At 42.6% G+C, this 22,903-nt stretch overlaps 1 protein-coding gene across 13 annotated transcripts in view, besides 1 other annotated feature; it reads left to right on the top strand.

The window, feature by feature from the left end:
- ILDR2 (immunoglobulin like domain containing receptor 2) overlaps positions 1 to 22,903 on the top strand; it is a 79,845-nt gene that overhangs the window by 53,721 nt on the left and 3,221 nt on the right. For 10 of the 13 annotated variants that reach the window (NM_001438641.1, NM_001438643.1, NM_001410891.1 and 7 more), the window contains 2 exons: positions 441 to 1,113; positions 2,430 to 13,633. In NM_001438641.1, the coding sequence (NP_001425570.1) occupies positions 441 to 1,113; positions 2,430 to 2,465 (709 nt within the window). In that variant the 3' untranslated portion in view covers positions 2,466 to 13,633. Of the gene's footprint in view, positions 1 to 440; positions 13,634 to 13,715; positions 13,781 to 22,903 lie in introns of those variants that run through there. The other 3 variants (NR_199384.1, NR_199383.1, NM_001438642.1) reach the window with 3 other exon arrangements.
- Positions 19,324 to 19,824: an enhancer, noted in NCBI's record as "H3K4me1 hESC enhancer chr1:166871233-166871733 (GRCh37/hg19 assembly coordinates)". NCBI's record gives its function as "activates a minimal SCP1, AML or CMV promoter by ChIP-STARR-seq in naive H9 embryonic stem cells {active_cell/tissue: H9 hESC(naive)}" and the evidence as "EXISTENCE:reporter gene assay evidence [ECO:0000049][PMID:30033119]".

The raw sequence follows: 22,903 nt of genomic DNA, 5'->3' as shown, positions 1-22,903 counted from the left end.
TTGGCCCTTGGCTCTGAGGGAAGAAAAGGCCTCTCTGTGTGTCACCACACATTACAGGGACTCCTGGGACCATAACTGTGTGTACTGACACCTGCGCTGGCTTTGAGGGTGGAGACGTGTGGCTGTCAACCCGAGGTCACAACATAATGACCAGAAGGCAGCCCCACGGTGGGTCAGTATTCCATAGGATACAGAATATGTTCTATCCACACAACCCCATTTTGATGCGTGGCACACGAGTGGAATAGACTCGGTTGCCCCTACTTGACGTTCTGGGGTGTGAGAGGAGCCTGGAATGCTTCATCCAGCCTGGAGCGGAGCTGAGGCTCAGGCCGAGGTCTCCTGAGCGTGGCCCCAGGACACGATGGGTGCTCTTGGGAGCCCTACCTGGAGCTCCAGGGAGGGACCGGCCGTCTGACCCCCTCCTTCTCTGCCCGCAGCCAGCCGCGCTCCAAGTCGGAGATGCTGTCGCGGAAGAACTTCGCCACGGGGGTGCCGGCCGTTTCCATGGACGAGCTGGCGGCCTTCGCTGACTCCTACGGCCAGCGGCCCCGCCGGGCAGACGGCAACAGTCACGAGGCGCGGGGCGGGAGCCGCTTCGAGCGCTCGGAGTCGCGGGCGCACAGCGGCTTCTACCAGGACGACTCCTTGGAGGAGTACTACGGTCAGCGCAGCCGCAGCCGCGAGCCCCTGACCGATGCTGACCGCGGCTGGGCCTTCAGCCCCGCGCGCCGCAGACCCGCCGAGGACGCGCACCTGCCGCGGCTGGTGAGCCGCACGCCAGGCACCGCACCCAAATACGACCACTCGTACCTGGGCAGCGCGCGGGAGCGCCAGGCGCGGCCCGAGGGCGCCAGCCGCGGTGGCAGCCTGGAGACGCCATCCAAGCGGAGCGCGCAGCTCGGCCCGCGCAGCGCCTCCTACTACGCTTGGTCGCCGCCCGGCACCTACAAGGCCGGCTCGTCGCAGGACGACCAGGAGGACGCGTCCGACGACGCGCTGCCGCCCTACAGCGAGCTGGAGCTGACCCGCGGCCCGTCCTACCGCGGCCGCGACCTGCCCTACCACAGCAACTCGGAGAAGAAGAGGAAAAAGGAGCCCGCCAAGAAAACCGTGAGACTGCGTCTGCCTCCCCTCCTCCGAGGGGACTGAGCGGGAGCCTCCAGGCAGGGCGAGCAGTGTCGCTGTCTGGGGGCCGGGGAGGTGGCGAGGCGGGAGGGTCCTTGCCGGAGAGGCCGCAGGGGCCTGCCTGGGCGAGTTCGTCCGCGGATGCTAGGCCGGGGGCTTTTTCAGCCTCACTCTGTCCAAGGCCAGATGAAGGAAGGAAGCAAGGGCTGGGAGAGTTGAAAAACAGGCAGAAAGTTGAAGGCGTGTATATGGTTTTACAGGGAGCATTAGGTATTTAACCAACTCAGAAGCCTTTAGCATCAGGGATCTCGGGAGCCATCACCACCACCGGCCTTTAGTGGGCTTCTGAGGTCTGTGTGCAGAATCTTCGATGCATCCTTCTATGTGCATTCCTCCCCAGCCCTGCTTGGGGCGAGGGTTTGTAACTTGCATCCGATTTCCAAGAACCCACATCCCAGAGAAGGCTAAGAGCCACTGCTGTTTGCAAAGGACAACTCATGTCTGTCCTCTTTTGATGTTTTATTGAGTGTAAACTGCATTGTGCCCGTATATGTGAAGGAAATCCTTTGGTCCCTATCCAGTTCATTGTCTCTTTTGTAAGTGGTCTTATATAGACTTCATTATTTTCAAAATGCCAAGAGCTGCCTACTCCATCCACAGCCCCAAAATGGGAGCCCTGGACCTCAGAGAAATGTTGGGGGACAGTCACAAATGTCCGCTGTGGGGTACCAAGGGCCTCTGACCCCCATGCTTTGGAGATCACTCTCCAAGCACAACTGCTTCTCCCCCTTCGCAATTACCCTGCCTCCCCACCATTCCGTTTTTTATGAATCCAAGCTGGACGTTTTCTTTAGTGTTTAGTATGGGGAGAAGGAATATGAACAGAAAAAGATTTTGACACAATTATTAACCCTTCCAAAGGAATTCAGTGTATTTTATTTTTCCTTAAATAAAAAAATGCAATAACCAAAGTACTATGAGTAGGGAAGAAACTTTCAGGCGATTTCAGGTTTATGGAATACCAACCACACTTGCTGTTGTGGAGCTCTAAACATAGTAGTTATCCTAAAGGGGGTGAGAAGTTATTCTGTGACCATGGAACTAAGCCTATCAGATGTATGCTGGCTTTAGCCTCTACTGAGGCTTAGGATCAACCATCACAGGTCTAATGAAAGGTTCTGAGAATCAGGGGTGCCTGGCACTGAACGGGTTGTGGACTCTGCCCAGAGAACCATCTGTTATTCGTTGTTTTCTTTAACTAGCATGTGGCTTAATGTTGGGCTCTTTCTGCTCTTTCCTAGAATGACTTTCCAACCAGGATGTCCCTTGTGGTCTGATGTTGTCAACATTTCTCTGGATAATGAGAAATCAGACATGGACTACGGGGACAAGACACAAATCTAAGAACCAGCAGGCCCAGGACCTTCTCTGGCCATCACCTTGGAAGATTTGCTGATCTCTGCTTTGGCAAGGGATGGCAGGCAGCCTTTAAGGGAGGCTGATTTCAAACCTCTGTGCCCATCTAACTAGTTTGAGAAGCTTACCAAGAAAGCAAGAATGTGTGAGAACATTCCTACATACAGAGTTTCTCAACTATAGCGTTTATCCTGCCCAGCCTCCTCCCTTAACAGAACCAGGACTCCATTTGCAATTCTGAAAGAGAGTTAGCTCTGGACTGCTAAACTCCAGAAATTGCCTATGCCTACAATATGCTTTTCTATACCTCCTGTGCTATACTTAGAGACAGAAGAATTTATTACTACTATTAGAAGGCCTTCTTCTGACAAGGGAAGATAGCTTCAAGTCAAAATATACCTTTTATCCCCATCACTTTACAGTCACTAGTCAATGACTGTTGTTACACTAAAATCAAAAGGCCTTTGGTGAGCTCAGTGACAGTGACCTCTGGGACAATCACAGAAATGACTTCACTGCTGTTCTGAATGACAATTCTTAAGTGGCTAGGACAAAGCAAAAGCGAGTATACCTTTTTGAAAAGCTGTCTAAGTGGTATTTCCTTTTCCATTCTGAGAACGTAAACTGCTTTTTCCTTTTCTGCTGCACATGTCAATATCGGAGTCTTAGACATTAAGGGCTCTTCTCTTCCTCCCCTCTCCTGGACTTCCCACAGGTTGGTGCCACACACACAGCCCTGCCTCCCTCTGCACTCTGATTAGATTGTCATTGAATGCCTTGTGATAAATGCTTAAAATATACACATGAAAGAGAAGAGGGAGGAAAGAGGAGAAAGCAGTAATGCATATAGAAAAGAATGAGAAGGAATTTAAAAGGGAAATAACATCATCTCATTATATTTTGAATGTGGACCATTTCACCCACAAACTTCACTCAGTCTTTTCCGGTTTTGTGCTTCACTTGCCGTTAATTGTTTCTGCCATCCCAGTTCTGCCATTCTAGGACATGGGGGATGTGGAACATACAGCATTTGGCCTGACTAGACTGCCACTATGGCTGCTTTCAAGAGATTAGAGATACTGCTTTCTCAGGAAGGAGTACTTCCTATTCCCACCCTTGCCTAAATGATAGATTTTGCCTAAATCCCAAAGCTAGATCTCTGGATTTTATCGTTTGTGTAGATAGCAAAAATGGCCACGAACTCTTTCCTTCTCATCAAGAGGTGCCATCTTTTTTCCAACCCCTTGAATCTGGAGTTGGCTATGTGATTTGATTTAGCCAGTAGCCCAACAAATGTGACACAAGCAGAGACTTGAAAAGTTCTTGTGCATGGGGCTTGTCCTCTTTTGCTGCTCTTGGGAACCTTGCAACTACCATCAGGTGAACAAGCCTGGACTATCCTGCTGCATGACAAAAGAAAAGGGCCCAGTTACCCTTGTCACCCTATCTGACAGCCCGTCAACTTCCAGCTGATGCAGACATGGGTGAGTCCAGGTGATACCAATAGAAGAACTGCCTAGCTGAACCCAGCCCAAATTTCTGATTCCTACTCGAGGCGTGAGAAGTTGGTGCATTCTTTATGTTCATTTCTCTTTAAGAACAAACCTGACTCGTTCTTGTCTGAATGTTCATCCCTGAACCTCTTAATCCATCCAAACTTGTGTTTCTCATAGCCTCCACTATTGTTGACAAATTTTTATCAAAGCTTTTCACCCTGCACTCTTGTGGAGTGGAGGATAATGCTTGACTTTGCTATCCCTTAATCCAGCAGTGGTTTCTTCCCTGTCTATGGATCCGTGGACAACCTCTGAAGATCTCTTCTTTACCATCCTTTTGGTCTTCTCCAGAGCCACCCTACTGGGGCTAGACCCTATTCTCAAAGTACCATTCCTCTAGTATCCATTTGTACTTCATGACATTTCCAAAAAAAGTCCTATGTTTGCAATGAAATAAGAAAGTGGCTGGGTGAGGGTCGGAGGGATGAGCTGGTATGTGTCATTGCTTGGAGAATTGACCTACCAAAGGACTTCCGTGTTGCTTTGGCCAGTCCCAGAGAAATCAGGAGAACAGTTGAACCCAGTGCTGGCACTTCCAAGGGCTGGAAGACACAAGCCATAACCCTGGTGCTGAGTTTTAGACTTGCTGGTGTCCCTGGCCTCTGAAAGCCTAGGTCTAGCCTGTCTGTTTGGACCCCAGTTCAGATGGAAAAGATGATAAAAAACATTTCTTAGTCACCAGCTTTGGATTTCAACTTGCTCAGGCAATTTTGGAGAATATTGGGTAGCTGTGGTAGCTATTATCGCTTTATACTGAGCACTGTGTCAGGCTTTTCACCACCAAAGAGCCTCATAGCACCAGCTGCAGAGACCAAAAATAATGTTTTTTTAAAGCTACGGACGTATGATTTTGGTGAAGGTTGAGGGTAGCAATGGGAAAGAAAGAATTATTAAAATTGGAAACCTGCAATTCCAAAGACAACAAAACTACAGATAGACTGAAAAGTACAAAGAAGATAGCAGGCTACTGAATTAACCTTGGGAGTTGGGACCAGGTTGTCCTTTGTAGAACTGGATAAATCATTCAGACTTCCAGGCTTTCAGTAGAGAGAAAAAGCAGTTGTTTCTGGGTATATGGACAGGAGTTAAGGCTGAGTTGACAAGTCAAAACTTCTTGTCCTCAGCACCCCTGACTTTCCTCTATGTGTCCTTTTGTTTCTTCTCCTTTGAATAGTGTGTCCTGCACAGGAAATGGTTATATTTGTTAGCTTCTTTCCTAGGTCTTATTGGAGTACAAAGTAAATCTTGTGTAAGACATAATCTCTGTCCACTAGGACCCCGTAATTTAATAGGGGAAATAAGACATGCTCAAGAAAGGAGATTTTATACATAGAGTATGAAATAGTGCTATGGATAAATTATAATAAAACCAGAGATTTAGTTTTTTTAAAAAATGAGAATACTTTGATATTAAAGTGTTGTATGTGTTTGTCCATCATCTTATTTAAACATAGACTTGGTGATCTGAAAAGCCAATACTCAAAAGTCTGAACTGAAAAGAGGTGAATTAGGATCGGGAAAGGGTGAGCAGCAGGGGTCCCAGGGGGATGATGCATAAGCTGCTGTGCTTGCCTGTGAGTCACTACTGAGTCAGGAACACGCTGGAGGAGGGAGTGTGGATGCAGGTGGCAGGGAGGTGTCCCCTGGTAGATGAGCTGCTTCTCTAGGCCATGCATGGATTCATTAGGAAGTTGGAGACAATGGCCATGGACCTGGTGCATGGCAGCTATTCCATCCAAGCACGTTCACAGGGGAGCTCAGCGTGGCTGCTCCTGGGGCTCAGTTCTGCGGCTGTGAGTGCTGCTGCCCATATTCACCAACACAGGGCAGGCCTCACGGAGATGCTAGGCCTCACATCCCCCTTCTCATGATCCTCACTGTGCACTTGACATAGGATTAGGCATACTGGAGATGAGAAAAGGCTGCCACCCAAACCCAAGGCACCTGACCACATCTGTAAATATTTCTGAATAGTCCACAAAATTTCACATAGGTAGTCTGATTAGATCTTGCCTTTGAGAGAAGCTGAAGTCACAGATACTGTTGTAATTTACCACCGCCCCTCACCCAATTTTTTTTAATAGGTGAAGAAACCATCACTGCCATTAATGAAGTCACAAACCTATTAGGTCTTTAGACTCCCAACCTCTGGATCTTTTCTGCTGATTAGTGTTTCCCAAAATTGCCTAACCACAAGAATTAACTTGATAGCTGCTGTTAAAAAGGTATTGTTGGACCCTGTTTTGGAGATTGATTGGGTGGGTCTAGAGCCAGAATTCATATTTTTAATATGCATTCCAGGAGACTCCTGTGATCAGATGCATTTGGAAATCATTGCACTAAGTCATACCTCTGGGTACTCCAAACAGCTAGTCCTGAGGCTTCCTTGGGCCTTAGAATTTTTTCTTCAAATGTCCTGGTGAGGTCCCTCTCAATCCTTTGGGGCTGGCTGTGGTGAGTCACTCAGAAGTCTGGCTGTGACCTGGATGGGCTCACCAGAGTACGCTAGTGGTAGTGGGAAAACAGGCAGAGAGAAAGGAGTGTCAGGAGCACTCCCAGGGAGGCTGTTGTAGATATTTCCATTCCCAGAACAGTGATCTATTGTGACAGTCTCAGAACAGACAACAAGAATTACAGGTAATTTTCTCATTCTCTTGATATATTTTTAGCAAAACTTAAATCATGAATAGAAGGAAAAGATGCCATTGGGGAAATAGAAAAACTCAATCATTTTATAAAGCATACAAATCATAAGGATGACTGGCCAATAGCACTCCCACTTTGGTCTTACCTAAAGTTGGGTGGACAAGAATAATAAAAGTCCTCATTTTATATCCTTCCAAAATCAGATTTAAATGCTGCCAGCATCTTAATGGAAGTCTGAAATTGATTGATAGGATGTAGAAATCCAAATTCACTAAAATAGGGGGCCAGCTACATAAAGTCCTAGAAGGAAAAAGTGCCTCGCTTTTTTCTGCCATTATCCTACCCCCTAGTCATCTGGGGAATTGATCTATGAAGCTTGAAGAAGGGGCATTTAACATCAGAGTGGTGCAAGGGCAGTGTTGAGATGCTTTAAGCAGCAGCCTGAGCTTTAGCACTATTTGAAGGGGAGAAGGTTAATACTAATAATATTTGTGTTATTTTTATGATATATTACTGTTTACAGAACACTTTCATTTGATCCCAACATCAACTGCTGTGATAGAGGCAGGGCAGATGTTGTGGTCTCATTACATAGAATGTAAAACTGAGGTTGAAAAATACTAAGTGACTTGTCTGTAGTCAAATGGTTTTTAAAATTATAAAGCCAGGCCTTCTGACTGTCTTGTCTGGTGTCCTTTCCAATTCCTTAAATACTCATGGGACTGGAATCTGGGTATTCCAGATTCCAGTTTCTCTTCACAGCCAGACATCTGGTGAGAAGAGCCGTAGACTTGATGCTTGTTCATATGTCATGGATGTGGCGAAGCCATGAAGACAGATACTGTTGCTGCTTCATCCAACTAAGCACCATTCATTCCTCAAATGCTAATCTAAGAGGGAGTTGTAGCTTCACTCAAGGAGAGTTTCGTTTTCTTTTTCTTTCTTTTTTTTTTTTTTGAGACAGGGTCTTGCTCTGTGGCCCATGGTGCAGTGCAGTGCAGTGGTGCTATCAGCTCACTGCAGTCTCAAACTCCTAGCTCAAGCAATCCTCCTCCCTCAGCCTCCCAAGTAGGTAGGACTACAGATATATGCCACCACGTCCAGCAAATTTTGTTTGTTTGTAGAGATGGGGTCTTGCTATATTTCCCAGGCTTGTCTCAAACTCCTGGCCTCAAGTGATCCTCCCACCTTGGCTGCCTAAAGTGCTGGTATTACAGACATGAGCCACTGAACCCAGCTGAGAGCCTCACTTTCATCACCTGTGCTGTGAGGGGTAATATATGCTTCAGGTTTTCTGGAGAATCCTTCTTGCAGAGAAGTTTCTGAATGAAACGACAGATTCATCTGGATTCAGAACTCCAGGCAGAAGCTGCTTAACAGCAAAAATCTGGCATCTTCACTACATTTTAAGATTTTAGGTAGAACTAAGAGGGATCAGATATAGAGGAATAAGGAATGTGAGAAGGAAAAAGATATAGTAGTTTAGCTAAATTTTTCTTAGAGTTTCTTGGTGGGGCTGGCCATGAAGTAACTAGTCTGACTCATTTCTTCTGGGAAGGCTAAAAGAGACACAGATAGCTTCTCTTTTACCTTGGCTTTAAGGAAAAGCCATTTTATTAACAAAAGTATTAGACACGACTGCATAAGAAATTTGCTGTGTGAGAATAAAGAACAAGGGAGTAGGAGGGTGGGACAGAGAAGGGTGAGAAGTTGGCTTCGTGAGGGCCACCTGTCAGTTGTCTTTGTGCCTTGTGACATCAAAACTGAAATGTTTGTATTACTGTTGTCCATGACTTTTTTTTTCTGTGTCAGACATACAAATTGAATTTGGTTGTAATGTTTTAAACGTAATAAAGAATTCTTACCTACATTTGTTACCAAGAACTCATAATTAACACAACTATGGTTAATCATGATCTGACATTAAATGGCCTCAGCAAGAGAAAGAATCATATGATACATGTCCTTCTCTGATTGTTGTAAGTACAGTAATAGAGGAATACATATTGTGGGGTTACAGAGGGGGCTGGTACTGACAGAGCAAAAGGTATGCTTTTACAGATTGTAATAAGCTAGATAAATTCTGTTGTCACTCTTACTGCTCTCCACAGACTGTAACATTCAGAAGGAGATGAAGGGTAGGAAAGGTGGTTGGATAAGGTGATGGTACCTAGCTCATTTCCAAGAGGGGCACAAGCATATGCCTGCTAGAAATTACACTTGGGGAAGGGAGGAAGGAAGCTATTCGTGGGAGGACATTTCAAGTTCTGTTAAGATTTGAGAAATTCCACAGCACCATAATTAAGAGGAGGCAATTAAAAACCTTTGTTAGCAAAAGAAGTGATAAATACCTCTGAGAACTATTAATCCTGTTTTGGATGGCTAAGCCCTCTCAAGGGAATTCCAGATTTTAGTGGCCTTGTCAAGCAGAAAATCTGTTTTTGCTTGAAGCATCTGGGCTCAATTTTTTTTAAGTAGTTAACTTAAAAATGTTAACATGTAGATTTAACTTAAAGATAGACTCTAAAACAGTTTGATTACCTCTGGATTTTGTATTATTTTGTGTTTTAATTCCATTTAGGTTTTTCAGCTTTATAAAATATTTTTGTTTTTATTTATAAAGTATTTGTTTAGAATCACCCACGTGTTTTTTCTACACATCTTTTTTTCCTATATTTCAGATCTTCCTTTTGAAATATTTTCTTTCTGAAGGAAGTTTACTTCAGTAATGATTTGTTGGTAGGATACTCATCAGTCTTTGTTGATGTAAAAGTCTTTATTTCATTCTTGTTCTTGAAAGATAATTTCACTGATTATGATTCTAGATTGATAGTTATTTTCTTTCAGGACATTGAAGTTATTATTACACTCCCTTCTGACTTTTATTTTTGCTTTTAAGAAGTCAATTACCAGTTTAATTATCCTTCCTAATCTGTCTGGTCTCTCTGACTGTTCTAAAGATTTTTTTGTCTCTAGTGTTCTTTGGTTTAATTAACATGTGACCAGGTGTGGATTTCTTTTTATTTATCCAAATTAGGATTTGTGGTGTTTCCTAAATCCGTGGATTGGATTTCCCATTAAATATGGAAAACTCTCAGCTATATTAACACATCAAATATTTCCTCTTCTTTTTAAACTCTCTCTTGAGAATTCCAATTGTTAGATTTTTTTTCATTCTATGCCCCATATTGTTTAATCTATATTTTGTATTTCCTCTCTCTGTGTTTTCTATTCCCTATTCAGGTAAATTTCTTCAGGTTTATCTTCCAGCTCACTAATTTTCTTTTCAGCTAGCTCTAATCTCCTTTATTTGAGTTTTAATTTTAATTAATATGTATTTCATTTCTAGGAGTTTAGTTCTTTTTCAAATTTACATAGTCCCTGTTGTCTTGTGACTTACTCTTTTTTTTTTTTTACAATGCCCTCTTATTTATCTGAATATCTTAAAGATACTAACTTAAAATTTTATATCCAGTAATTCCAATATCTACAGTCTTTGTGGGTCTACTTTTAGAGTTTGTTACTTCTGCTAACTTTCACTCACAGTTTTTTGTTTCTTTATGGGTTTTATAGTTTTTTATTTTAAGCTCATGTGTGGTGCAATGCCATATTACATTGTGCCAGTCAAGAAAAACCTTTCTTGCTCCTTATCTGCCTTACATTTCTCCATAATGACTCTATATATACACAGCAACCCTGGGGAAGCCAGGAAGAGTGAATGATTGAGTAAGGAAGAAGTAAGTGTGCTAAATGGGAAAAAATGAAAAAGGCACACATACACGCATTGTGCATTTCTTTCTAATGCAACCTGTAGACTGCAAACAAAATCTTAAGATGGGGAGGGCAAGAGGCTTTAACTTTACATATTCTTTAGAGTTTGATAATATAAGAGAATGGCTGTCTTAATTATAGACATAGACTGTTTTAGGGTTTAAGAGTGAACAGAAGGCTGTTAATTGTTAAGAGTGGCCAAATAAATTATGGATGTAGATTTCATTCAAGAGGCAAGGAAGGCCGGGCCCTGTGGCTCACACCTGAAATCCCAACAGTTAGGGAGACAAAGGTGGGAGGATAGCTTGAGCCAGGAGTTCAAGACCTACCTGGGCAGTATAGTGAGATCCCATCCTCCACAAAAAGGTAAAAATTTAAAAAGACAAGAAAAAAAAGAAGCAGCAAGGAAGGACTAGACTCATAGGATGGATTAAAATTAGGCAAAACAAATAATTCATTTTTCCCTATGATTATCTAATTCTAATCCAATTTTTATATGCTTTCATTTCAAGAAATAAGAAGTAGGCTAATTTCAGGTTCTCTTAGAAAATCTTGGCAGAGACATCCTAATCATACTCATCACACCACTTAGGTGAAAATTATATTTTCTGCTGAATTGGTTATAAGCATTTCCTGAATACTTATCAGGTGGCCTAAGATGACTCACCAAAAATGGCATGAGGTGTAGAAGTAGCTAGGAAGTTGCTTAGAGGTGAGTGAGTTGGTCTGACACGCCATCTAGTGGCACACATCCAAGAGAGTGACTCTATTGCTAACCTTCCAGTATTGGATGGAGGTGTGCCTCACATTACTTAAGGGAAAAGCTACATATGAATTTATATAGCTTATTTTAATGCTATATATGAATTTATATAGATGAATTTGGCTTTTGAAAAACAAATTAAGTGCATTAGGAATTTTTTCTTTAAAAGTGATATGTTTTTCTTACACTTTGCAAGTTTAGAACTTGCCATATTATGTTTTTGAGGCAGGCTTCTGTGGATATAATGTGGGGAAAACCATGAGGTTTTTGCTTGGGATCAAGTGGGATTTAGGTGCATGCCTTTTGTGATTTAAAGCTATTTTAAAGTGTGCTTTTAACACCATGGAATTACAATTGTTTTCTGAAGTCAGGTCAGGACTCTGATTCTGCAGAATTATGGTGAAGCCAGTTTCTCTTTAACAAGCAAAAACCGTGTCATCAAACTGTACAACCAAAGGACCTAAATAGTCCATTCCCTAGTCTTCAGCTGTACAAAGATGAATCAATCTCTCTGTCTCTTGTTCTCTCTCTCACTGTCTCTAAAAACCAAGCAGAGGAGAAAATTCCAGACATGTTAAAACACTTTACTTTTTTTTAAAACAATCCTTGCTCTCTGGAGATATTTTCTCACATTTTGTTACAAATTTTGTGTAGAAGCATAGCCACAGTGGATTTTTTCTGGCTCTTTTTCTTTCTCTGAGACGTTAATGTCCAGTAGAGCAAAGCTAGAAGGATATATATATATATATATATATATAAATATATATATTTATATATATTTATATATATATATATATATATATGTATGTATACACACACACATATATATGTCAATTTCTATTAACCTTGTTTTTGGAAAAACGCTTTGTTCAACTGAATGTAGTTAAATTATAATGGACATTAATATACAACCCCACCCTCCCAGCCTCTTTTTGTTGCTGGTATGACTTAGGCACCTAGCTTTTCTCATTCCCTCAGGCCAAGGCGATAGCCTCTTATGTTTCATTCCTTTGGCAGCTGTATTAGTAAAAAAATTTTTGGTTGCAAATGACAGGAAGATAGCTCAGACTAGCTTAAGAACAAGAAAAGGAGAAATGGAGCTCATCTATTAGAGAGATCCTGGAGTAGCTCACAGGCTGGAAGAGCTGTAGGAACTGAGAACAAACCTGGGTCTCAATGTAGTAAGATTTAAGATTCCCTGTCCATCATCCACACCTACTTGTGTTTTTACATCAATACATTTTCTCAGTGAGGATAGACTTACTCCAAAAGGCAGGAATATAGCCACTAGCAGTCTGAGAGTCACAACTTTCCAGCTCATTTGACCAAGCAGGCAAAAGGCTTTACTCATGAGAACAATCCTGGAGAAAGACTGCAGTCAACTCATATTGAGTCATGTGCCCATATCTGAGCTAATCATGTGGCCAGAGATGTGGCAAGTCTGTTTATGACCAGGAAGGTGAGACTGCGATGGACTGGATAGTGGGATAGGAAGATTTCTCCAAAGAGAGAAGAGAGTTGTTATTAATAGAAGAAGTGAGAATAGTGATGCTGGGCAGACAAAACACATACACAACACCAACAGCTATCTGCTACTGCATCCGAAAAGATTCTTTATCTGCAGCCACAGAGCCCTGAACAACCAGCCTTTCCGGCTTCCTTTTGTTGCCAATTCCCTCACACGTATTATTCCAACCCAAGGCTTCAGGGAGGCTGTTTTTACCACAGTTCAGTGACAAATCCTACCAGAGCCTTCCATATACCAGTGAATGTCCTTGGTTATACTTGTCTCGTTCTGAATTTAGAAATCCATCTCTGTGTCACTGCCTTCATTAGGACCTTTCGTCTCCTCCCTGGATTCTTCTGGTACCCTCATTTCTTGTCTCCTACTTCCTGTTGTCTCCTAATTATTCACCTTCTACTTTTTTTGTTAGAGGTTCCAGACAGTTTCAAGAAAAATACTTAATGCTGGGCAAGGTGCTTCTCCCTTCCTCTCTAAGTTCCATAGAACAGGGGACATTTTGCTTCTCTGTTGCTATGGACTGAGTGTTTTGTGTCTTCCCCAAATTTTTATGTCAAAATCCTAATCCTAATGTGATGGTATTTGGGCATGAGGCCTTTGGGAGGTGATTAGGTCAGTAGGGTGGAGCTCTTATGATGGAATTAGTGTCCTTATAAGAAGAGACAGGAGAGAGATTACTTCCTCTCTTTCTCTGCCATGTGAGGATACAGCAAGGTATCTGTCTGCAAACCAGGAAAAGGACCTTCGCCAGGAACTGAATGTATTGGTGCACTGAGCTTGGACTTCCCAGATTCTAGAACTGTGAGAAATAAATTTCTGATATTTAAGCCACCTAGTCTATGGTATTTTTGTTACAGCAGCCTGAAGTGACTAAGACACCTATCCACCTCTTCATTCCTTTCTGTATAAACAGGAAAGGAGAACTACTTGGATTCCTTGAGTGTCTGAAGTTCATCATGCCACATTTCCCAGTGTAAAGTAAGTGTTTACGCACCCCACATTCTCTTTTCTGGTCCTACACCTTTCACTTCCTGTTCTCAGGGATGGCCAGCACGTCTGTGCTTCCTTCTCTCATGTGAAGGAGAACATGTGACTTGGGCAGAGTCCTTTCTTTGCATCTCAGCTTCAGACCAAAGCGGCCTTCTCTAACATGGTTATCAGAAACCCTGCATTTTGGGAGTTGGTTGTTCTTTGGTGAGCTCCCATTTAATTTGTAGCCTTTATGTATGTACAGCATTGGTCATGGAAGAATAGGGCTATGTCACTCAAAATATGTATAATTTTTACATTACATTATATAACTTTTAAAATATATTTTCTTAAAAAAAACTTAATTGCTTCCAAGCAACCGATATCTCACATTCCTCTGATTATTGATTACCCATGATACTAAACTTTCTTTCGATTCCAGAATTTGATACAGGAATTCAGACAAAATATTGAAAATGTTTTAGCAAATTTAGAGCAACAGATTGTGGAGTGGGGAGACTCCATTTATTAAGAGATGTTCCCTCAAAAGAAATGAACAGGCCTACAGCACGCTCCATGAAGAGAACTTGGAGAGTGCTCATTGTTCCATGGCGATTCCTGAGACGTAAATAACTCTCTCACATGAAGGTGGATTTTCACAGTGATCCATACTCAAGTCAGTCACAGTAGGCCATGGGGAATTTTCAAAAGGAAACCTCTTCTCCAGACACTTGAGGGCTATTGTGTATATTTTCATTGCTTCAGAGAGAAACGTCTTGAAGAACTGGCAAACAGCTGTTCATCACAGCAAATATATTTCTCATTCCAAGGAACTCATCAACACATTTTTTTTTCTCTCTCTCAAGGAAGTTCAGAACTAAATGGAATGATTTAAATTCTTGACTTAAGGAGACCAGCAGCTTTGATAATGCTGCCAAATTATCCTCACAGTATCAGAAAGAAAAAATTGACCTAAAGACTTGCGCTGTAAGAATTGTAAGTGGTGAAAGGGAGCTACTTAACCCTGGTTTTTGGTAGAGGGCAGTCTGGCAGTGGGCAGTGCTGACCTGCACAGAGGACAGGGGCAATGGGGCACTGGGCTGCATGCCATGGAGGCCCTGAACTGATGGGTGGCTGGGCCCCCTAGGTCCAGGCGAAACCCTAGAGCATCACACAGTTTATTCGTGAGGGTGAGCCTGAGGGTACATCTGAACTCTCACATACAGCCACGTCATATCTTGATAAGGACTCTCAGTCATGAAATTCCAGACCTCCAAATGTTTCCTAAGCAGAAAACTCAAATAACAAGTGGTTCAGTTGAAATTAAGATACCTGGCAAGACTGAAGTCTGACTTTGCCACTTTCTGCTTAAAACCCTTCTGGCTCTCCATAGTCTTTTTCACATATTGTCAAGTGCCTTAGAACACACAAAGCTCTTTGTGATCCCACCCTTTTCTGCCATCACAGCTTCATTGCCAGTCTCTACCTCTACTTCTTTTCTACGTCTTTGCTATGCTGTAATATGCAGAAACATTTGTAGAGCTTGACTACACTGTGTTGTTCTATACCTCTGTTCCTTTATTCCAGAATACCTTCCTTCCCCTCTCTGAGCACTTTCTTACATACATTTTAAGATTCAGCTTGGATGTTGCATCTTTTAGGAAGCCCCACTCCCACCAGGCTGAGCTAAGAGCCCCAGGTCCATGCTTCCTCTGCAGTGTTCGCCCTGTCACCATGTTCAATGCATAAACACAAAATGATCTATTTTTGTGTCTGGTTGCCCACTGGAATGCAAGTTCTTTGAAAGTATTCTTTTTCTTGGTATCCTTCATACCACTGTGGTATGTGGCATGCAGTAGGTCTTGTAGTGTGAGCTTAACTAAACCAAAATGAGATCATTTTATGATATCCTGAGAGCTCTGACCTCAGGAAGGCTGCGGAGCAGTCACTCCCATGCAGGTTGAATAAGCGCAAACACTTTTACATCCAGGTCACATCTCAGCCAGTACAAATGATCTCAGTCACTTTAAGACTTTCAGCTTAGTCATACCCTAGAACAGAGGTTGGAAAACTTTTCAAAGGGACTTGCCAAAAAACTGATTCCTTTCACATAAAAACCTGGAGGAGTGAGGAAGGCAAGCGATGAGGATTGTTTTCACTTATAAGCCGTGGGCAAAAGAGATTCTGAGATAGAGTATGGCCACAGATTTTGGAATTAGAAACACCAGAGGCCCTCTATCAGTTTCCAACCTTGGCTGCTCACTCCAACTGATGATTTATTTGTAGCTATAGAGGTTCTAAATGATGCTGTGGCTGGGACATGAAGGAGGCAACCAGTCCAAAAGCTGTTTGTATGTGTTTTTATCAGCACATACAATTACTATTCCCAGGCTCTAGAGAACCATAAAAAAGTATAAGCTATGTGTATAAGTTAGAGACATCAGGGTTGGACATCTCAGAGGGGCCTGGAAAACATCCTGTCGAGGTAGAGGGAAGGGTAAACCACTGAACTACTAGAGAAAGCTACTTAATCTCTGGTAGACCCTGGGTCTGCTCCCTCTCCACCATATCTTAGCCTCAGTTTCATTTAGTCTAAAAGGTAACAAATCAGTGTGATAGGCAGAAAATTTAAATGTTATGAGCACTCCTCAAACTCTTTCTCCTTCAGTGCATACCAAATGCTGAACAGCTGGCTCAGCTTCTGCAATTTTGTGGTATTAAATGATTTAATGGGTTCACAAGGAAAGAATCCAGTGGAACCTGGCTTGGCTCAATTGATTTACATGGAGCCAGCTGACCGTGGGAGAGAAGAGGATGAAAGAGATCATGGCCAGAATGGGCTAGCAGAGTTTGGAGAGGAAAAAAAATAGATTTTGAGTATAACCAGTATTTATACGAGATTTTGAGAGAGAGATAAAAAGAAGCTTTTAAAGTTTTTAAACTTTTATTATGAATACAATCCCCTTTGGGATTTTTGAGAGACTTTAGAATGTGCAATATAGGGCCATAGGTTAAACTGGTTATAACAATATTTAAAAGTCTCCTTTCTGAGTAAGACCTTTATCTTGTTACCTAGCACAAAGGGATTTTTTCTTTTGCAGTTTTTTTGAGGAGGTGTCTCCATGCTTGGCATGAAAACCAGGGGAGGAAAATACAAGATGCCCTACTGTGTACAGTGAAGTGGGGTTTTGGAAGATGTGCTCCAGAGAACGGCGTCTGGGCCCCCACAATCTCCCCATGTTGCACAGACTCTCTCTGACTCCTGTGATCTGGCCCTGGCTGTCCTGGAATACTACCCTCTACTCCAACAGAATTTTTAATTGTTCCACAGTGTATTTATGTACATTGTTATCTGAGCCTCTGAGTAAAGCAAAACAGGCATGATTTTCTCTGTTTTACAGATCCAATAGTCAAGACCACAAAGAGGGGAATGACTTCTCAAGGTGACTTAGAAAATAGCAACAAACAGCAGTGGAATTGGAGCTAGCATCCAGATCTCCTGAATCCTTGTTCATTATTCCCCATGACACTCAGTTCTTGCTTTGTAAACAACTATGGAGATTGTAGAAGCTCATATGAAAAGGGGGTGCAATGAACAAGAAGTGTAGATTAAAGAAGTGTGGAACCTTGAGTGTCAATTGATACAGTGCAAGCCATGTGGCTGCCTGCCTACTAACATGCAGTGGTAAGAAGGGCCTGCAGATCCACTGGCAGGGGGCAGGTTCAGAGTCACACCCAAGAGAGATCTATAGATGAGGGCAATGGGCCAGATCTAACAAGATGAAATGAGAAGGGATAAATGCAAAATCTCACATTTTGATCTGAGAGATAATTGCACAAGGACAAGATGGGGAGATATTGCTTAGGAGAGTCTTATCCTTTTATTCAAGTTATTTTAAAAAGTATTTGTTGGGCACTAATTATGTCTATACAATGGTTTGGCACTGAGCTTACAGCAGTGAATAAGATTAAGACAAATAAGGCCCCCTACCCTTATGGAGTTCAAATTCCAGCGAGGGAGACAGCCAATACACAAATACTCAAATGATTTCATAAAAGGATCAGTGTTGAAAATAACTCAGGATCATGGACATTGACTGTTAAGAGGAGGAAAATATTAGAAGGGTGGTCAGAGAAGGCCTCTCAAAGGATGGGACATTTTCAAACTGTTACTTGAAGGATAAGAAGAAACTGAGATTGAGAGGACCATCGGGCAGAGTTCCAAGGAAAGGGAGAACAAGTGAACAGTGCTTGAGGTAGGCATGATTTCAGAATGTTTGAGGAACAGAAGGGAAGCCATCATGGTTCAAAATTAGTGAACAAGGAAGGACATAGGAGCTGATGTTGAAGAGGCTGCAGGGGCCCCCAACATCACCTAGATCATTTAGGCTGAGAAGGCCATTATAAAGATGCCAGAGTGCTAGGCACCCTCCCCAAATCTCTTCTCTTTTTTGTCCTTAGAAAAAGGTTCTTATCTGGATAGCTAACCAGAGACTAAATTTCCCAGCCTTCCTTATTGTGAGTTGTGGCCATGTGACTAGAGTTATCACCAGAGCAATGTGAACAGAAGAGATACGTGCAACACCCACCTTACTTGACTGAAGGGAAATTACTTGCCTTTAACTTCCTTCCCTTGAGTGACCAACCATGCAAATAAGGACAATGTACTAGCCTTAGGCATGGTGGAGCAACAAGATGGGAGGAACCTGGCTCCCAAATGACCTCATGGAGAACTGGCCTGCCTGGCTGGACTAAGTGAAAGAGAAATACACTTCTCTCTTATTTAAGCCACTGCATTTTGAGGTCTTTATTATAGTGATATAGTCTTTACTGTAATTAAATCAATGAGAAATGTGGACTTTTTTCTAAGTTGGAAACCATTAGAAAGTTTCAAACAGATGAATGATGTGGCCTATGTTTGAAAAAGACCATTCTGACTTCTGTATGGAGAACAGATTACAGGAAGACGAGAGTGGAAGAAGTGAGAACAGTTGGAGGGCGAATGCAGATTTTGTGTGGGGGACAATGGAATAAGACGATGGCAGTGGAGAAGGATATACAGGATAGATTATGAATGTATTTTGGAGGTAGAGAAAATAGGCTTGTTGATTTATTCAATTTTGGAGACAGTGAAGGAAAAGGAAAAAAAAATGATTCCTAGGTCTTTGACTTGAATAACTAATGAAACAGCAGTGGAATTTCTTGAGGTGGACAAAACTGAAGTGCAGGGTAGGATAGGATGCTTTGACTGCAAAACAAACAAAACTCAGAAAACTTGACATAAACTGGCAAAAACAATAAGGACATTTATTAGCCTACAAAATGTAGAATGGGCTACAATAATTGGTTGTTCCAAAAGTTTAAATATGTTGCCAATATCTTTTTAACTCTACTCTTTGCCATTCAAGTTTAAGCTTCATTCTAATGCTGGTTCCTCTTGTGGTCGGTGACTGAGACAATGTGTTTCCTCACTCACCTCCAACAAGGAAGAGAGAAGTCATTTCTCTAATTATATAATACAAGTCTTTGTAGCCTGAACTTTCTGACTTAGCTTGTCATGTTCTGATTGGCTTAGATGAATAAGGAATAGGCTTGGAGTTACTGCCCTCTGATTGGCTTAGATGAATAAGGAATAGGCCTGGAGTTACTGCTCTCTGAGTCATAGCTGTTGCATAGAGGGCAGTATATGACACCCAGGCAAATTCAGGTTCTGTTGGGAAGGACAGGAAGAAGGGTTGATTCAGAGTTTATGTTATGCACTTTAGCTTTTTATTTCTTCTTCCTAATCTGTAAAGTGGGGAGAGAGACATGTGCAGCCTTGGCAGACAGAGGAGGTCCAGGATCTCACAGAAAAAGAGAGACTTTTGCATCTGTCAAAAGAAAGAAACTGGCTGGGCCTGGTGGCTCATGCCTCTAATCCCAGCACTTTGGGAGGCCAAGGCGGGTGTATCACCTGAGGTCGGGAGTTTGAGACCGGCCTGACCAACATGGAGAAACCTCATATCTACTAAAAATGAAAAATTAGCCGGGCATGCTGGCACATGCCTGTAATCCCTGCTACTCGGGAGGCTGAGGCGGGAGAATCGCCTGAACCCGGGAGGCGGAGGTTGCAGTGAGCCGAGATCACGCCACTGCACTCCAGCTAAAATCTCTCTGGCACCAAGGAGGAAGGTCACTCCTAATATCAAAGGGACCCATACGACAAAACTGCTGCATGGATGAGGTAATGTGAATGTCAGTGGCTGTATTTTGTTAACACAGATATCTGTCTGCAACCAATGAGACTAAGCAGCCTTGTGGGGGAACTAGGGAAGAAGGCAGAAAAATAAAACCCTGCTGGCCCTGGTTTTTGTGTTTTAGAAATCCAGTCTTTTGGCCTGTGAGAGAATGATCACAGAAGATTCTAAAACTGTCTCCCTTTTGGAAGTCACGTCTATAACATTTGAGAAATCAGCCCTTGAATATAAAAAAAACAAATTGGGACAGTGCCATTGAGGGCAAAAGGAGCCTTGGTTCAGGATGAGGGAGGGAAGAGGAGAGGACCAGCAAGAATAATGTCTTGGTGTCAAAGCCTCACCTGCTCTCCAGGCAGACAGATTCTCTGGTTGGGGGGCTTTCTTGCTTGTCATTCTATGAATAAGGAACTTGTTCAAAAGCTGTTCATAGTTGGCCATGGAGATGAGCTGTAGGAGAAGTTCTTAGTTAATGTTTGTAATAACCCCGAGGGACCTAGTGATTGTAAGGTTGATGGGGATCCGGCCATCTGTTCTCCCCCAAGAGGAAGGGAGCAGAGTTTATTTTCAATCGTTGTTGTTGCTGCCAAGAACCTGAGAAACTCGGGGAATGTGGAGCATTTGAGGCATGCTCAATTAGTTTGTGTTAGATATACAGAGTGTGAGCCCCTTGTAGCCACAGACTATACTTCCAGGCCACCAACTCTGATTGCTAAAAATGGAAGGTGACCAAAGAGACCAGGCAAAGCTATAAAGCTATTGGGGCTTTGCTTCTGCTTTTGAATGTGCTTTTGGTGTGCTCCACCTGTCATCTTGTATTCCTTCAGGAAGAGCTTGGTCTAGGGATTTTAAACATCAGAGTAAATTGTTACAAAAGTCGAATGGAGAAGGTGGGAAAATCCAAAGCAAGCAATTTTTCATTTAACCTTAGAAATAAACTGGAGTTTTAATATAAAAGTAACGGTAACTTAGAACTACCCATACCACCCCACAAAACAAAAGCTCTACACTTTCATCTATTTTTTCTACTTCTGTTGGTGGCCTCATCAACTGCAGGTAATTAATATAAGTCCTAGGAATCATCACAGACTTCTCTTACTTTCTCACACCAGTACAGGAGTCAAATGTCCAAGTCCCAGAGTCAGACCTCCTGAATTCAAATCCCGTCTTTGCCACTTTCCAGGTCTGTGAATTAAACAAGTTATGTAGCCTTTCTGAGCTGTGGTTTACCCATCTTTGAATATGGATAACAACCCTATCTGCTTCATAGAAAGAAATTAATATTAGAGAATATTGTAATTATCCAAGCAATTACTGAGTCCTGTTGATTTTACCTTTTCAATATCTGTTGCATTTGTTATCTATGGCAATCTCAAAGTGTGTGCAATGAGATGAAATGTTTTATTTGTGGGGGTAGGATGCTTGTGAGAAAAGACATCAGAGAGCAAAAGAATAGTGGGAAATGGAAAAGGGACAGACATGAACAACTCAGGGTTTTTGAAGAGGGCGATGGGTGAGACAGGCCTGGGGTGGAGGGCATGAAAGATGGCAATAGAGAGAAGGAGGCTGCCATGGGGGTGGGGGGAGCATGAAAGGGTAGCAATAGAGAGAAGGAGCCTGCTGTGGAGGGCATGAAAGGATAGCAATAGAGAGAAGGAGGCTGCCATGGGGGTCATGAAAGGGTAGCAATAGAGAGAAGAGAGGCTGGGAGGCTGACCTGAGTGTGGAACTTTGGAGAGAGATATATACTGACATTTGAATGACCTGGGTGTCTTGTTGAAAGTACAAATTAGGATTCAGCACAATTTAGGTGGGGCCTGAGATTCTGCATTTCTAGCAGCCTCCCAGATGACATCAACTGTGCTGGATTTTAAATGACTCAAAGTATCAAGGGAGTAGAGCCAATCCTTGCATTGTCCTTTGACCTATGTAGCCATCTTTGGAACTCTTACAGATCTGTTTGCATTCTGCTCTCATGGAGCTTGTCCCAAAATAATTCTTCATCTTCCCCTAGCCCTCTTGTAGATATTCACATAAGTACCAGAGCAAGGAGAAGAAGGGTTGTATTGAAAAAAGCTAATATATACATATTTTGAAATGATTTTAAAAGCAGATCTAAATGCTTGAATGTTTGGTATCAACTGAGCCATAAAACATGAAGAAATATTTGATTTTCTGAAATCCAGCTTTTTCTATGAACAAGTTCTTGAGAGGACAGCAAAAAGGCCCATGGCTCATCTTAAATCTGCTAACTCCTGTCAGCTTGTAAAGTGAAATAGATTACACTCAATTACAGCTTACACAATCACATAACCAAAGAATTTGGTTAGCACGTGTATGTTCAAATTCCCCCAGACTGTAAACTCCTTGAGGATAGCAATCGTGTCTTTTTCTTTTTCTTTTCTTTTCTTTTTTTTTTTTTTGAGATGGAGTCTCATTCTGTCACCCAGGCTGGAGTGCAGTGGCACGATCTCGGCTCATTGCAACCTCTGCCTCCCAGGTTCAAGCAAGTCTCCTGTCTCAGCCTCCCAAGTAGCTGGGACTACAGGTGCCCACCACTATGCCCGGCCAATTTTTGTATTTTTAGTAGAGACGGAGTTTCACCATATTGGTCAGGCTGGTCTCAAACTCCTAGACCTCAGGTGATCCACCTGCCTTGGCCTCCTAAAGTGCTGGGATTACAGGCGTGAGCCATTGCGCCCGGCCAATCATGTCTTTTTCATCTTTTTATTATTATCATAATTATTGGCTTTTTGAGAGAAGGGTCTTGCGTTGTCACCCAGGCTGAAATGCAGTGGGGCAATCATGGCTCACTGCAGATTTTACCTCCCAGGCTCAAGGGATTCTCCCACCTCAGCCTCCAAAGTTGTTGGGACTACAGGTATGTGCCACCATGTCC

This window comes from Homo sapiens, chromosome 1, assembly GCF_000001405.40.
Source record: "Homo sapiens chromosome 1, GRCh38.p14 Primary Assembly".
Taxonomy (NCBI): Eukaryota; Metazoa; Chordata; class Mammalia; order Primates; family Hominidae; genus Homo; species Homo sapiens.
This window is presented reverse-complemented; position numbering and strand designations above follow the sequence as displayed.